Source organism: Homo sapiens, chromosome 12 (assembly GCF_000001405.40).
Source record: "Homo sapiens chromosome 12, GRCh38.p14 Primary Assembly".
NCBI lineage: Eukaryota > Metazoa > Chordata > Mammalia > Primates > Hominidae > Homo > Homo sapiens.
The window spans coordinates 95878068-95894293 of record NC_000012.12 but is presented as its reverse complement, the minus strand read 5'-3'; the positions used below and the strand labels follow the sequence as shown (position 1 = coordinate 95894293).

General features: G+C 40.6%; 1 protein-coding gene across 5 annotated transcripts in view; it reads left to right on the top strand.

Moving 5' to 3' along the window:
• CCDC38 (coiled-coil domain containing 38) overlaps positions 1-16226 on the top strand; it is a 76186-nt gene that overhangs the window by 48940 nt on the left and 11020 nt on the right. For 4 of the 5 annotated variants that reach the window (XM_011537883.3, NM_182496.3, XM_047428281.1 and 1 more), the window contains 5 exons: positions 3364-3462; positions 5788-5836; positions 12740-12809; positions 14499-14650; positions 15948-16083. In XM_011537883.3, coding sequence (XP_011536185.1) covers positions 3364-3462; positions 5788-5836; positions 12740-12809; positions 14499-14650; positions 15948-16083 — 506 coding nt within the window. Of the gene's footprint in view, positions 1-3363; positions 3463-5787; positions 5837-12739; positions 12810-14498; positions 14651-15947; positions 16084-16226 lie in introns of those variants that run through there. The other variant, XM_011537889.2, reaches the window with a different exon arrangement.

Here is a 16226-nt window from a genome sequence, read left to right as displayed (position 1 = left end):
GATTCTGTAAACAGACACAAAGTCATTCATTTTTATTTTTATTTTTTGTTTTGTTTGGTTTTGTTGTTGTTTTTGAGATGGAGTCTCTGTCTGTCACCCAGAGCTGGAGTCCAATGGCACAATCTCAGCTCACTGCAACCTCCGCCTCCCAGGTTTAAGATATTCTCCTGCCTCAGCCTCCTGAGTAGCTGGGACTACAGCCACGCACCACCATGCCCAGCTAATTTTTGTATTTTTAGTAGAGACGGGGTTTCACCATGTTGGCCAGGATGGTCCTGATCTCTTGACCTTGTGATCTGCCCGCCTCGGCCGTCATGTTTTATTAACCTAACAAATTAACCTAAGTTTTATGTTTTATTAACCTAACATGTTATGTTTTATTTATATATTAACATATTTTTATGTATGCTATATATATATGTTATTTACTTATATATTAACATATTTATGTTTTATTAACCTAACATATTAACCTAAGTAAACTAACTTTATTAATTAGAAAATACACAAGAAGGTGGGACATGGTGGCTCATGTCTGTAATCCCAGCATTTTGGGAGGCCAAGGCAGTCAGATCAGTTGAGCCCAGGAGTTTGGGACCAGCCTGGACAACATGGCAAATCCCCTTCTCTACAAAAAACAAAATATTAGCTGGGCGTGGTGATGCACACCTCCCAGCTACTCAGGAGGCTGAGGTGGGAGGATCACCTGAAACCCCGGAAGTTGAGGTTGTAGTGAGTTATGAGCATGCCACTGCACTCCAGCCTGGGTGATGGGAGTGAGACCCTGTCTCAAAAAAGAGAGAAAGAAAGAGAGAGAGAGAGAAAGAGAGAGAGGGAAAGAAGGAAGGAAGGGAGGGAGGGAGGGAGGGAGGGAGGGAGGGAGGGAAGGAAGATAAGTTAAATCTAAGAAAACCTGTCTCAAAAAAGAAGGAAGGGAATGGAATGGAAGGGAAGGGAAGGGAAGGGCAAAGGAAGGGAAAAGGAAGGAAAGAAGGAAGAAAAGAAAGAAAATATATGAGGAAATTAAGTCTAAGAAAACAACAATAACCTTAATGTGTGTGAGCTGGAGTTTTGAGAAATAGAAAGCTACGTCATGTTTTCAGATAGAAAGATTGATATTGTAAAGTTGCCAAATATTCTAAAACTAATGTATAAGTTTTATGGAATTATAATTAAAATGTTACCAAAAATGTATCAGAGAATTGGGTCTTGGTTGGGGAGAACTTTGCACAATGATCCAAAGGTTCATCTAGAAAGATAAACAAATACTTTTGAATTCGGAAGGTAATGGGAGGAGGATTACAAATGCTTTAAAATTTTATATATTATCATGGAGTCTCAGTAATTGAAACAGTCATGTACTGGCATTGGGTCAGCTCAACGGACCAGATATGGGTCCCACTACATATATATATAAGAATTTAAGTCCGGGTGTGGTGGCTCATGCCTGTAATCCCAGCATTTTGGGAGGCCAAGGTGGGTGGATCACAAGGTCAGGAGTTCGAGACCAGCCTGACCAACATGGTGAAACCCCGTCTCTACTAAAAAATACAAAAATTAGCCAGGCATGGTGGCGCATGCCTGTAATCCCAACTACTCAGAAGGCTGAGGCAGGAGAATCGCTTGAACCTGGGAGGCGGAGGTTGCAGTGAGCTGAGATCACACCACTGCACTCCAGGCAGACCCTGTCTCAAAAAAAAAAAAAAAAAAGAATTTAAGCCAGGTACAGTGGCTCACATCTGTAATCCCAGCACTTTGGGAGGCTAAGGAGGGAGGATTGCTTGAGCCAGGAGACCAGCTTGGGCAACATAGTGAGACATAGTCTCTACAAAAAATTTAAAAATTAGCTGAGCATGGTGGCATGCAACTGTAGTTCTACCACTAGGGAGGCTGAGGTGGGAGGATTGCTTGAGCCCAGGAGGAGGAAGTTGCAGTGAGCCATGATCATGCCACTGCGCTCCAGCCTGGGCAACAGAACGAGACCCTGTCTCCAAAAAAAAAAAAAAAAAAAAAAAGATTGTAATAAGTGAAAGCGGGGTCACAAATCAAAGGGGATGATTTGCACTTTCAACTAACATTGGGGTAACCAGGACCAGACTTAGCCTCTTGCCTGAAAAACTGGATAAATACATGAAACAGGAATTTTCAGACATTGGACATCAAACAGTAAAGCAGAGTGAGACTCCGTCTCAAAAAAAAAAAAAAAAAAAAAGCAGAGTGATCCCTTGGAGAGGGGAAACCAGGGAGGTGAGCCCTAGGATTGCCTCAGCTTACTACCTGGAGAGAGAGTTTCCAGGATGCAGTGCAGGGATGGGAGCCAGGGGCAGCCCAGCTGAGAACTGATGCCACTACTCCAGGATAGGAGCATTTACAACACAGAAATTGGCGAACTACAAATCAGGGGGAATTTGCTTTCTAGAGAGTTGGTTGTTAAACCTTTACCAACACACCACTAATGGTTTCCCTGCTGAGTTCCCTAGGTCTCTCACTGTGCCAAGTGTGATTAAATTAGGTCATATGTGTAAAGTGTTGAGCACATGAAAAAATTTGGTTAAAGCTAAATGGTGTTGCACAAGAGGGAAAACAAGTGGGAAAAAAAAAACAAGAAGTATTTGCATTCAACAATTTAAAATTCAGTCCTTCTGGGGCCAGGTGCGGTGGCTCCATCTTGTAATCCCAACAATTTGGGAGGCCAAGGCAGGCGGGGTGCTTGAGCCGAGGAGTTGGAGACCAGCCTGGGCAACATGGTGAAACCCCATCTCTACAAAAAAAATACAAAAATTAGCCAGGCATACTGGTGGACACCTGTAGTCCCAGCTACTCTGGAGGCTGAGGTGGGAGGATGGATTGAGCCCAGGAGGTCAAGGCTGCAGTGAGCTGTGATGGTGCCACTGAACTCCAGCCTGGGTAACAGAACAAGACCCTGTCCCCAAAAAAATAAAATAAAATAAAAAATTTCATCTCGGTTCATGATCCAAATAGAGAATGTTCAGAAACTAGTTAAGTCTGTCAGTCCAGAGGCTTGAAAGCTAACATTTGGGATTTAAGGAGTTACGACAGATGGATGTTGAAAATGGAGATGTCCTAGTGCCCTACCAGTCAGTTCTCACACATTCTCTTAACCCAGGGACCAGCCCTTACTATCTGCATATTGTGTTTGCATATTACCATCTGCATATTATGTTTGCATATTACTATCTGCATATCACGTTTGCTGGTTGATAATGTCTCCAACTTATATTTCTGTCCCTGGAAGTTTTGACAATAACTCTATCTTCACCCTGAGACAAAGCTCTCTTTCTCAGCAGTGTTTTTTTCCCCCCATCTTTCTCTGTCTCTCTCCTCTTCATTTGCCATTTCTAGAATTATCATTACATTCAAGTAACAAGGAAGGCATCCTTGAGGAGTCCGGGAGGACAGCTGTCCTTTCAGAAGATGCTTCTCAGGGAAGAGACAGCCAAGGTAAAGGTAGATTTGGGACTCATGAAAGTAAAACCTGCGAATGTGTCCATCTCAAAGTGGAGACAGAGGACTACAAGCCAACCTGGAAAATGGAGGGCTGTGTCCACCCCACCCTCAATCCTAGCAGCCAGGGGCTCTGGTTCTCTCTCTCACGTTATCACAAAATGCCAAGAGGTGCACGAGTGGATAGAATAGGCAGAGAATCAGAGGAAGAGGGCCCCTGAGACATACCCTGGCTGGCCAGCACATGTCCTGAAGTCCTTCCAAGCTGAGGCCCCTCGTTTCTCTGGCGCGGACCTGCCTTCTGCCGTTGGCAGGCCCACTCCCAGGGTCCAGAAAACCAGGCCATTTGCAACGAGGTGACTGACTTTGGCCAGTGATTCAGAGAATTTACCCTTGGGAAAAGGATTAATTTAGAGCAGAGGTAGCTCTAACCTACCCACCATCAACTCCAAGAAGTCCTTCACTATCACCATCTCTCCCAGGTGGAATGACCCTCCTCCTCCCACTCTGCATCACAAGTTCAGACCGGAGATTTGGCCCACTGGGCTGCGCTATCTGGCCCCAGTGTTTTGGTGTTGTTTGGCTTGGTGGCCAATGTTTAAAAATCAGCACATGTAGGCCAGGCATGGTGGCTCACACCTTTAATCCCAGCACTTTGGGAGGCTGAGGCAGGTGGATCACTTGAGCCCAGGAATTCAAGACAAGCCTGGGCAGCATGGAAAAAACCCATATCTGCCAAAAATACAAAAATTAGCTGGGCATGGTGGTATACGCCTATAGTCCCAGCTGCTGAGGAGGTTGAGGTAGGAGGATCGCTTGAGCCCAGCAAATCGAGGCCATGGTGAGCAGTGATGGTGCTGCACCACTGCACTCCAGCCCGGGTAACGGAGTGAGACCCTATGTCAAATAAATAAATAAATAAATAAATAAAGTAAAATAAGCATATGTCATGAAAAAAATCTGTATTTCTATCTTCTCTTGAAAACCACAAGATCTGAAGTCTGGGATCAAGTTGGGAACTTTCTTGTGGGAGGGGTCTGATCTCTCCAGTTGCTTTGTTCTTACTGGGTCCACTCCACTCCTTTACCTGCCCTTCCCTGTATCCATCTGAGTTTGCAGCCCCCAATTCAGGCTGACTCCTGGGGACTCCTTTTCTCCTGTATCCTGCTATCAAACTTGGGATGTATTTAGTATTGGGATAAAGGTCAGGAATACAAGTTGCCTGCCCAGAAATGACCCTGGTATAAGCCTGAAGCCTTGTGCATCTGGCCAGCTGATTGAAAAGTAAATTCTTTTGTGTTGTGAGGCCACTTTGGCTCACTTTAAGACATACTACTTTGCCTGTTGGAAGATCTTGAGTAGGGTGTGGGGGCAGGGGTGGGGTAGAGGGAGTGGGAGGTGGTGTCAATGTTCCCTTCTCTTTGAAATTTTGAATATAGAAGTTTCTCAGTTTAAATAACACCTCTTAACAATACTTTTTAGTAGTACATGTTAGGGTACCAGCTTAAAAGCTGAGACAGACCGGGTGCGGGGGCTCACGCCTGTAATCCTAGCACTTTGGGAGGCTGAGGTGGGTGGATCTCCTGAGGTCAGGAGTTCGACATCAGCCTGGCCACCATGGTGAAACCCCGTCTCTAGTAAAAATACCTGTAATCCCAGCTACTCGGGAGGCTGAGGCAGGAGAATCGCTTGAACCTGGGAGACAGAGGTTGCAATGAGCCGAGATCATGCCATTGCACTCCAGCCTGGGCGACGAGAGTGAAACTCCATCTCAAAAAAAAAAAAAAAAAAAAAAGCTGAGACAATAATAATAATAAGATGGTGATGGGACCCATCTGATTGGTTCTTCTTCATCCATTTTTTTTCCCCTTCTTTCCTTTACTCACCGTGTATTTATTGGAGACATAAATGTTTCAGGTGCTCTTCAAGACCCCACGTACACAAAGACAAACAGTACATAGTTCTGCATCCCAGAACTACACACTACAATGGGGCGAATGATATATAGTTATAGACAGTGAGGGCTCTGGAGGGAAAAGCCAAAAGTGTGATCTCTGCCTGAGGCATTTAGAAGAGTCTGTGCCTTTCATTTTATTCTTACGCATGCAACTCAGTTTCAATAGAATAAAAGACCTCCATTTTCTATGCAATTATCATTCCAATAATAAAATAATTTTTTAAAAAAAGAAAGAAGTAATGGGCATGTCTGTGCAGAAAAATGAATACCTTGCACCAAGTGCACGGGCTCATTTCTAATTCCATGTTATTTCTTTTCACTCCACCATCACCAACGGCATGGCCTCACCTGGACATTTTGAACAGGAAAGCCAAGCAGAAGCCTGACTCGCACTCCAGAGAAAAAGAAATCAAAGTACAGTATATACTTGACTAACTCCCTTGGAAACTGGGAATGGTTTTCAGCAAATAACTTTTAAAGCCTTTTCTCAACATATATGTCATGTACCCATAACTGTTGTAAGAGATCCTGGAAGTAGTGGTGCCATTTCTGTGCACTCCTGAGATCTCACAGGCCTCTCTCCAATCTTTGTTAAGTACCTACAGCTATTATTTGCAGAAGCTATCTGCCCCGCCCCCTGCATCTTGGGTCTTTGCTTCTCAGAACCCACTGCCCTATTTTTTATTAAGCTATTCTGCTAGCCTGTGTGTTTGCAATTTCACCATGTGATTCAAAATTCCTGCAATTAGGATCATAAAGTATTTTTTTGTTGTTGTTTTCCCCCTCACTTAATTGTTCACTCATTTGTACTCATTATTTCAGAAGTCACTCGTTCTCAACCCTTACTACCCCAAGAGAGCTTCTTTAAGAAAATATGTTGATGCCTGGGATGGGTACACCAGCCCAGAGGAAGGGATCTGGGCCAGCATCACAGTATCATGACAATCACTGAGAGAAACGGAAACATTTTGCTGTGAATTCTAGGCACCCTCTGAATTCTAGACACCCACTTCTGTGGCATTTGGCACAGATTTTTTTGTAATTAAATGTTCATTTTGAGATCGTTTTAGATTCACGTACAATTGTAAGAAATAGTACAGAGAGACTCCATATACCTTTTACTCAGTTTCCTCCAATGGCATCATCTTGCAAAACTGTAGCACAAATACCATAACCAGGATATTGACATGGATGCCATCAAATACAGAACGTCAGCGCAGGGTTCTTCATGTTGCCCTTTCAGAGCCACACCCACTTCCCTCTCCCACCTCCCCTTAAACCCTGGCAACCGCCAATGCGTTCTGCATTTCTATGATTGTGTTATTCCAAGAATGTTCTATAAGTGGAATCCTACAGTATGTAATCTTTTGGGATTGGGTTATTTTACTAAGCATAATTCTCTGGAGATTCACTTAAGTTGTTTGGTCTATCAGTAGTTGGATCCTTTTTATTGATGAGTAGTATACTATGGTATGGACGTGCTACAGTTTAACTATTTGCTCATTGAAGGCCATCTGGATTATTTTTAGTTTGGGGATATAGTGAATAAAGTTGCTACAAATATCTTTGTTCAACCTTTTGTGTGAACATAATTTTCACTTCTCTGGAATAATTATAATGTAATGCCTGATTGGATGGTAGATGTGTGTTCAGTGGTTTTTTTTTGTTGTTTGTTTGTTTCCTTTTTGAAATGGAGTCTCGCTCTGTCACCCAGGCTGGAGTGCAATGGCACAGTCTCTGCTCACTGCAACCTCCACCTCCCAGGTTCAAGCAATTCTCTTGTCTCAGCTTCCTGAATAACTGGGATTACAGGTGCCTGCCACTACGCCCAGCTAATTTTTGTTATTTTTAGTAGAGATGGGGTTTCACCATGTTGGTCAGGCTGGTCTCGAACTTCTGACTTCAGGTGATCCACATGACTTGGCCTTCAAAGTGCTGGGATTACAGGCGTGAGCCACCACGCCCGGCCGCATGTTCAGTTTTTAAAGAGATTGATAAGTTGTTTCTCAGAGTGGCTATGTCACTTTACATTCCCACTAGCATTGTATGTGGGGTCCAGTTTCTTCATATCCTCAACAGCATTTGGTGTTTTCACTGTCTTTTATTTTAACTATTCTGGTAGGTATTAATTGATTTTCCTAGTAGCTAATGATGTTGCGCATCTTGTCGTGTGCTTGTTTGCATCTTTATATCCTCTGATGAAATATCTATTCATGTCTTTTGCTCACTTTCTAACTGAATTGCCTTTTATTAAAACTGTTGCATTTTGAAAATTCTGTATATATTAGATACTAGTCCTTTGGGGATATGTGGTTTGCAAAGAATTTCTCTGAGTGTATAGATTGTCTTTTTTATCCTCTTAATAGGGTCTTTTGCAGAGTGAAAGTTTTAATTTTGATGAATTTCGGGTTATGAATTTTTTCTTTTATAGTTCATGCTTTTGGTGTCAATTCTAAAACGTTTTCCCTAGCCTTAGACTCAAAGATTTTTTTCCATATTTTTTCTTAGGTGTTTTATAGTTTTACATGTAAGTTTGTGATCCATTTTCCATTTTGAGTTAATTTTTGTATAAGGGGTGAGGTTTAGATTGTGGTGATGGTGCTTTTTTGCCTGTGTATGTCAATTGCTCCTGCACCATTTGTTGAAATGGCTTCTTTCATTGAATTGCTTTTGCACCTTTGTCAAAAATCACTTAGGCATATTTGTTGGGGGCTATTTCTGGATTCTCTATTCTGTTCCATTGATCTTTGTGGCTGTCCTGCCACATGATCTTGACTACTGTAGCTATTAGTTTTTTGTTTGTTTGTTTGTTTTTAGTATAGGCAAGCTTTATTATGTATGGCCTTGATTTCACAAAGTTAGAATAGCAATTACACTTAAAATTAACTCATTAAAAGGTGTAAATATCACAGTATAGATATGTTATCCAAAACTCCAAAGGTAGTGAAACTGGTAACATACTGCTACTTATCTTTGGACAGATACAACCATAGTATTAATGGAACTGGTTCTCAGACAAGTATGTACTACTTGCTCCCGTGCCTTAGGGAGGATAGGATGTTATAACATAGGCATTATTGATGCAGTGACTCGTGGATAGTTGCTCCTAATTAACACTGCTAAAATTAGGTTCACATGTTTTACTTTGTGTGGGAGCTGATGACTCTTGTTCTTCTATGTTTTGAGTGATATCTTTCAAGGTGTTGACATCAAATCCACTCATTCCAAAATGCATCACAGATGGGAACTTAAGCCTCTTTACAAAGCAAACCACTGGAAATTTATAGGTAGTATGCAGCACTGGTCTGTAACTGATCTCTGATAATATAGCAACATCATTTCTTTGGAACATAATTTTCTTGATCCCACAAGAAGTGACAGGATAAGAAAACTCATAGTTAAATGGCAACAGTCTTGTTACAGGACAGTTATCTCCCAGGTGTATGTCACCAGTTTTAATTTCTGAGTTGTTATCAAAGGGCCTTATTTTCATTCTAACAACCAATCATCAGAACACATTGAAACTATTGCAAGTCAGACAGTGACCTAAGCCATCAGCAGTCAACTCAGTCATTGCTGCAGTCCAAACAGTGTCTTCTTTATCCACTGAAGATCTGTGTCTTAGGACTGGGTCGAGTCCAGAAGAATTCCAAAACAATAGAGAAAACAGGAAGGACCCGCCTAAGGGCACAGAGGTCTTCATTGCTCCAGATTCCAACACACAACACAGGGAACAGGAAATGGCCTGTAGCTATTAGTCTCGAGGTCAGGGAGACTTCTTATGTAATTCCTGTTTTTCAAAACTGTGTTGGCTATTCTAGCTCCTTTTTCTTTTTATATAAATTTTAAAATAACCTTATCTATATCTACAAAAAAACTTTCTGGAATTATGATGGGAATTGTGTTAAGCCTTTTTATGGGTTGAATTATGTCCCCCACAAAGATATGTAGAAGTCCTAACCCATGGTACTATGTACATGACCTTATCTGGAAAAAATATATATATTTTTATTACACCTTTGCAGACTTAATCAAAGTAAGATGAAGTCATTAGGGTAGACCCTTAATTCAGTATGACTGGTGTCCTTACAAAAGAAGAGACACTGAGACACAGGGAGAATGCCATGTGATGACAGAGACAGAGATTGAAGTGATGTGGCTGCAAGCCAAGGACTGCTGGCAATAGGAGCAGCTAAGAGAAAGGTATTAATAGATTCTTCCCTGGAGCTCTCAGAGAGAACATGGCCTGTTGACACCTTGATTTCTGACTTCTAGCCTCCAGAACTGTGAGAGAATAAGTTACTGTTGCTTTAAGCTGTTGTTTGTTACATCAACCCTAGGAAACTAACACAAACCTGTATATCAATTTGGGGATAATTGATTTCTTTACTATGTTACATTTTCCAATCCATAAACACAGTCTGACTCTCCATTTGTTTAGATCTTCTTTGATTTCTTCAGCCTTCTGTAGTTTTCAGCTTACAAATCCTATACATGTTTTGTTAGATTTATAGCAAAATATTTTTGTCTTTTCTTTTTGAACAATTGTAAATGGTATTGTACTTTGTATTTTGGTGTCCATGCAGTCATTGCTAATATAGAGAAATACAATTGATTGTATACCCTGACCGTACTGAACTCACTTATTAGTTCAAGAATTTTGTTTTGTTTTTAAAGATTCCTGTGGACTTTCTAAGTAGACCATTATGTCATTTGCACATAGCGACAGCTTTATTTCTTCCTTTCTGATCTTTATGCCTTTTATCTCTTTTTCTTGCTTTATTGCAATGGGTAGAACTTTTGATGTTGAATAAGAGTAGAGGGAGCAGATATCTTTGTCTTGTTCCCAGTCTTGAAAGGATTCAGTTTTTCACCATTAAATATAACGTTAGCTGGAGGATTTTTGTAGATGTGCATACTCTATCAAGTTAAGAAAGTTCTTCTCTGTTCCAGTTTTCCTGAGAGTTTTTATCAAAATGAGTGTTGAATCCTGCCAAATGCCTTTTCTGCATCTAGATGCTCACAGTAACATGCAGACACCACATTCGCTCCCTCAGAAAGCTCACCACTCTCCTAGTCTCATCCATTCATTCAACAAATACTTATTGAGTGCCCCAACAATAAACAAAAGATAATCTCTGCCCTCAAGGGCCTTACCATTTAGGGAGGAAGACAGCCAAGTTGATTGCAATACAATGTGATAATGTTATTAGAAGGATAAGCCCAGAGTGCCACAGGCATGCAAAGGTAGGACTCAACCCAGAGGAGAGGTGAGGGCATGGGAGGGCAAGGGCAGGATCAGTGAATGTGCTTCAGAACAGGATGCCTCTAAGCTGAGTCTATAAGAGGAGGAAGAGTTAGTGAGGACAAGCTCTGGAAGAGGGAGTGCTTTCTGGTACAGAGATGACAGAGCTTGGCTCTGTTCAGAATGGCAGGTTTATCATTCTGGGTAAAAGGGGGAGAGGCTCAAGGAGTACATGGGCACTGCACCATGAGCAGGGAAGTGGTGATGCTATCTACCTAAGCAGCCTGTGCTTTGTCCCAAGGGCCCTGGGGAGACACTGTATGTTTTAAACAAGAGTGTGACAGAGACCCAATCCTATTTGCACTTTAGAAAGATGGATGTGGCAGTATTTTAGAGAATGAAATGGTGGAGGACAAAACTAGAGGTACAGTGGCCAGTTAGGAGTCTATTGTCACAATTCAGGTGAGAGAGATTGGACTGCCTAAACCAGATAATGGCATCGGAAACAAAGAAAGAAAGGCTGTGAGAGACATAGGGAAGTGGCACTGACAGGACTTTGAACGGCTTATGTAAAGATTGAGGGAAGTGTCGGGAAAAGAGAGTGGTTACAGATAACGCCCAGATTTCTAGCATGGCAACTGGGTGCATGGTCTTGCCATCCAATAATATTGGGAACCCAGTAAGAGGAGCAGGCCTGCCTGAGGAGAAGAGAAGGAGTGTGATTTTGGATGTTCATTTTAGCTCCCTGTGGGACAGCCATGTGGGTAATGATGTCCAGTTGAAGGTTGGACATTGAAATCTAAAGCTCAAGAAAGAGATAGAGATGTGAGAGTCATTAGTGTATTAGCAGTGGTTGAATCCATGAGATGGATGAGGTCTCCCCAAAAGAATGGGTAGAAGGAGAAGGGAAGAAGACTGAGGAGGAGCCCCAAAAGACCACAAGAGTATCAGAGAGGTGGGAAGAGAGTGATTAGAAAGTGATGTTGCTCAACCCAAGAGCAGAGAAGGGTGGACTGTAATGTCAAATGCTTTCTCAGGGTATGTTTCCCTAAAATTCATCTATGTCCCTGGTCCTTTCTGTTTTCCCACACTTTCTCTCCAGCTGCTCAATAGGCAGCTCCAGGTGTGTATTTTGTCCCCTCAAACTCAACATGAATAAAGCAAATATTAATCTTTTCCTTATCCCATCTGTAAGCTGTTTTCCTTCCTGTGAGTGCTACCTCCATTTTTCCAGGCTCCAGACCACAAATGTTGGAGTCATCTTTGTCTCTTCTCTCATGGCCCCAAGAGCCCTTTCTATTTTTGGTTCCCATGATTTCATTCTTCCATATATCTCTAAATTCTCCTCCCTCCCCACACACTTACTCATCGTTGCCATCATCACTGCCCTCTATCTGAAAGTGTTAATGACCTAGATCACAACAACAGCCAACTTACTCTCTCCCTATCCCTGCTTCTTTAATATTGCAATCAGTTTCCACTGATCTTTCTTACAGGATTTTTCCAGAGCCACTTTCCAAGCCACATGATTATGCTTTAAGGAGGTATCTCACTGTCCATCACCCCAACCAACATTTTGTCAGCCTGATTGGAAGATATTTTGAGAAGTAAAATCTGCTCTTAAAGAGAGAAGCATTGCCTTACTTGGGGACAGTCAGAAGGCTGTGATACAGCTTTCATTTTGAGAAGTAGAGCACATTCAGATTCTCAAGAAGAATGCATTAAAAGGACAAAAGGATGAGGCAACATAGGCTGTCATGTGTTTCTTTAAAAATAAAGTTACCTTACTTTATAGATGCACCTCAAATAATTGGTACCATATGGTATGGCCCTCCCATGTGGTCTCATTGTTTGTGTATGTCAGCTGTGTCTGGGACAGAATCCAATTTTCTTTTGTATATTCATGGAATCCATTGATTTCTGCAATCAGCAGTTCCCTAAAAGGCTAAACCTGCTATTGAAAATAATTATGTTACAGTTGGGTTCCAACGACAATTTAGAGAGGAATGCAAACCTGTTGACAGAAAATGGCTCACAAATCAGACATTTTCTTTTTCTTTTTTCTTTTACAGCCTGGCTGAAAGTTTCGGTTCAGAAGACAGTTTGGAATTCCTTTTAGATGATGAAATGGACGTTGATTTGGTAACCAGATTATATTTGCTAGTTTAAATATTGGGTTTGGTGAAAAATACTGATGATCATTTATTCTTTTGAAATTAAAATATTTTATTCAAAATATTGCACAAACCTTCCAGAAAGAAATATAATTTTGATACTATTCTCCAATTGGATATATAATCTATCTTTGTCATAAGACATTTTATAACAAATAAGTATCTAGAAGAAGGTAATGATTTAGGATATATATATTTTATATATATATAAAAATATATATAAAATCTACAATCTTCTTGTAAAAATAGCCACTTGCTGATTGCATTTTATTGGGACTTGAGATGTGTTGGGTAGCTGAACCATAAAATAAATAGGCCTTCAACAAAACAACCCTTTATTGCTGCAAGATTGACTTTGAGCTAACCCCACCCGAAATGCAACCACAGAAACTCAAAAGGGATAACAAATACCATTCATTGTTGTATATTACACACCTTATCCAAGTCATCTTTTTAAAAAATTGTGACAAATAAACATGTAAAAAATTTACCATTTTAGCCATTTTAAGTGTGCATTACAGTAGTGTCAACTGTAAGCAATAGATCTCTAGAACTTTCTGATTTTGCAAAATAGAAACTCTATACTCATTAAACAACTCCTCTTTTCTCCCTCCCATAGCCCCTGGCAACTGCCATTCTACATTCTGTTTCTAAAAGTTTTACTATTTTAGATACCTCATGTAAGTGGAATCACTCAGTATTTGTCTTTTTGTGCCTGGCTTATTTCACTTAGCATACTGTATCCAAGGTTCATCTATGTTATAGCATATGACAGGATTTGTTTCCTTTTTTTTTTTTTGAAATGGAGTTTCACTCTTGTTGCCCAGGCTGAAGTGCAGTGGCACGATCTCAGCTCACTGAAACCTCCGCCTCCTGAGTTCAAGCAATTCTCTGCCTCAGCCTCCCAAGTAGCTGGGATTACAGGCACCGACCACCATGACTGGCTAATTTTTGTATTTCTAGTAGAGTCGGGGTTTCACCCTCTTGCTCAGGCTGGTCTTGAACTCCTGACCTCATGATCCACCCACCTCGGCCTCCCAAAGTGCTGGGATTACAGGTGTGAGCCACCGCACCCGGTCAATTTCTTTCCTTTTGAAGCTGAATAATATTCCATAGTATGTGTATACTACATTGACTTAATCCATTTATCCATTGATGGACATTCTTGCTTCCATGTCTTGGCTATCGTGAATAATGAGGAACATGGGTGTGCAAATGCCCAAGTAATTTTTTAAAAAAATGTTTAAGGTAACACATACTTTATCTTAAAAATGTAGGAAATATAAAATAATTAAAATGTGGGGAGAAAATGACTTTCACTCAGCCTCCTGTCATCTTTCTTCTATTCCTTCTCCCTTTCCCTTTTTCCCGCACTTGCCTCCTCTTCTGCTCTGTCTCCTTTTCCTCACCCTCTTCTTCCTTTTTTCTTCCCCATCCCTTTTTTAATACCCTCATCTCCCCACAACACTGCAAATGTGCTCTTTCTGAAAGCCAGCTCTCACTTGGAAATAGGCGAGTTTCCCATACAAGTTCCTACCTGTGTCTCCCTCATCCTTAGAACTGTCTTCCTTTACCCCACTGTATTTTCTAGATAAGTCACATGTGCATAGGTAGCATATTTTTAAGTAAATTATATTCTTCATTATTGATTAATTAGGAGCCAGCACTTTATTTCAAGGAACCAGAGGAGTTACTTCAAGTCCTCAGAGAGCTGGAAGAGCAGAATCTTACTTTGTTTCAATATTCCCAAGATGTAGATGAAAATCTTGAAGAGGTAAACAAAAGAGAAAAAGTTATACAGGATAAAACGTAAGTCATTATAAACAAGTAGATTTATTCCATTAAGCAATTTCTAACCAGAGCCTGGGTCCAACTCACTCACATGTGGCTCTTCCTCGTGGTCTCTGTGAATGTAGGCTGGGGTTTTTAATAGTTTACATTGTGGAGTGCAAAACGTAGACGTCGTATTTACACAGAATAGACTGGCTTTAATTTTGTCCCTACTTCCTTTCACTTGTCAACGTATTTTCCTACTAGTAATAATAAAAGATACTTTGAAAAATGACTAAAAAGAATTAAAATGGTACCTACTGCCTTAACTTTTGTCCGGTATAGTTTTCGCCCTATCACTTGGCTAGCTGTCATTTACTTTACCAAATCATGCTGTGGATGATAATGCTAACAAATGTATTTTCATTGGCTGTGACTCTCAGAAAAATAATTTTTGTGATTAAATATTATATCATTTTATAAAGTTCCTGTCAATATCTCAGGGCGAATATAGAAAGGATTTCTGTCAGGGGAAAGCAGCTGGATTTGATCCCTCACAAAATTCCTTCCTCATCTAAAAATATATAGTATTACAAACTTGAAAAAGAATTGAATTACAGAGAATAAATCTTTGTATCTACTCATTGCAAAAATGTGTAGAACCTTTTCTCAGAACAGTTTTCTGGGCCAGAAGATGGCAATCTTTTTAAACAATAGGTCAAACTACATTTAACTTCAAAACAAATTAATTTGTTCAGAAGAATCTAAATAAAAATCATTATCTCACAGCTACCCATTACCATTTCTGAGACTTTTTAATCCTTGTATCTTTTCCAATCTTCACAGTGTCTAATGGCCCTCCACCCACCTCCACAATAAGATTTTCTGGGACAGGGTGGGTGCAGGTAGGCAGGAAAGGGGGATATATAGAATCTATCTCTAGAGGATCTTATCAGAATCTTTAGGTGAGGGAATTAGGAGTCTATATTTTCCCTCTCGGCTCCCCACATATTCTGATTATCAGCCACGTTTGAGAACACTGGGTTCCTGATGCCTCAGCTCTGCTGCTATTTGGGGGAATTCGAATGGAACCACAAAAGTAGGGGAGGGGAAGAAAATGCCTTCTGATGGAAGTTAAAAACAGCATTTGTGCATGTATTTTTCTCATTTTAACTTGAAAAGTTGCATGTACTTTGGCAATGTCTTCAAATACAGACTTGTATTTGGCTCACTACATGGATTTTGACACATGATCTAGAGTGTTAAAGCTCCTGACTGATGGTTATTTCACTAACCACAAATTTCAGATGAGGGTCTCTTTCTTCTTTTGTAATAGAAATAGCAACATAGAGTTTCTTTTGGAGCAAGAAAAAATGCTTAAAGCTAACTGTGTGAGAGAAGAAGAGAAAGCAGCAGAATTGCAATTAAAGTCCAAGCTCTTTAGCTTTGGAGAATTTAATTCAGATGCTCAGGTAAATCACTCTTTGCCTATGGTGATTTCATTTTGGCTCATGATTATAATTTTTATTCCCTGTGTCCTAAGTATGTGAATAGGAGAGTTAAAGCAAATCACAAGTCCTAGATTGATGACAGAAGTGGAAAGCCAGCTTGGAAT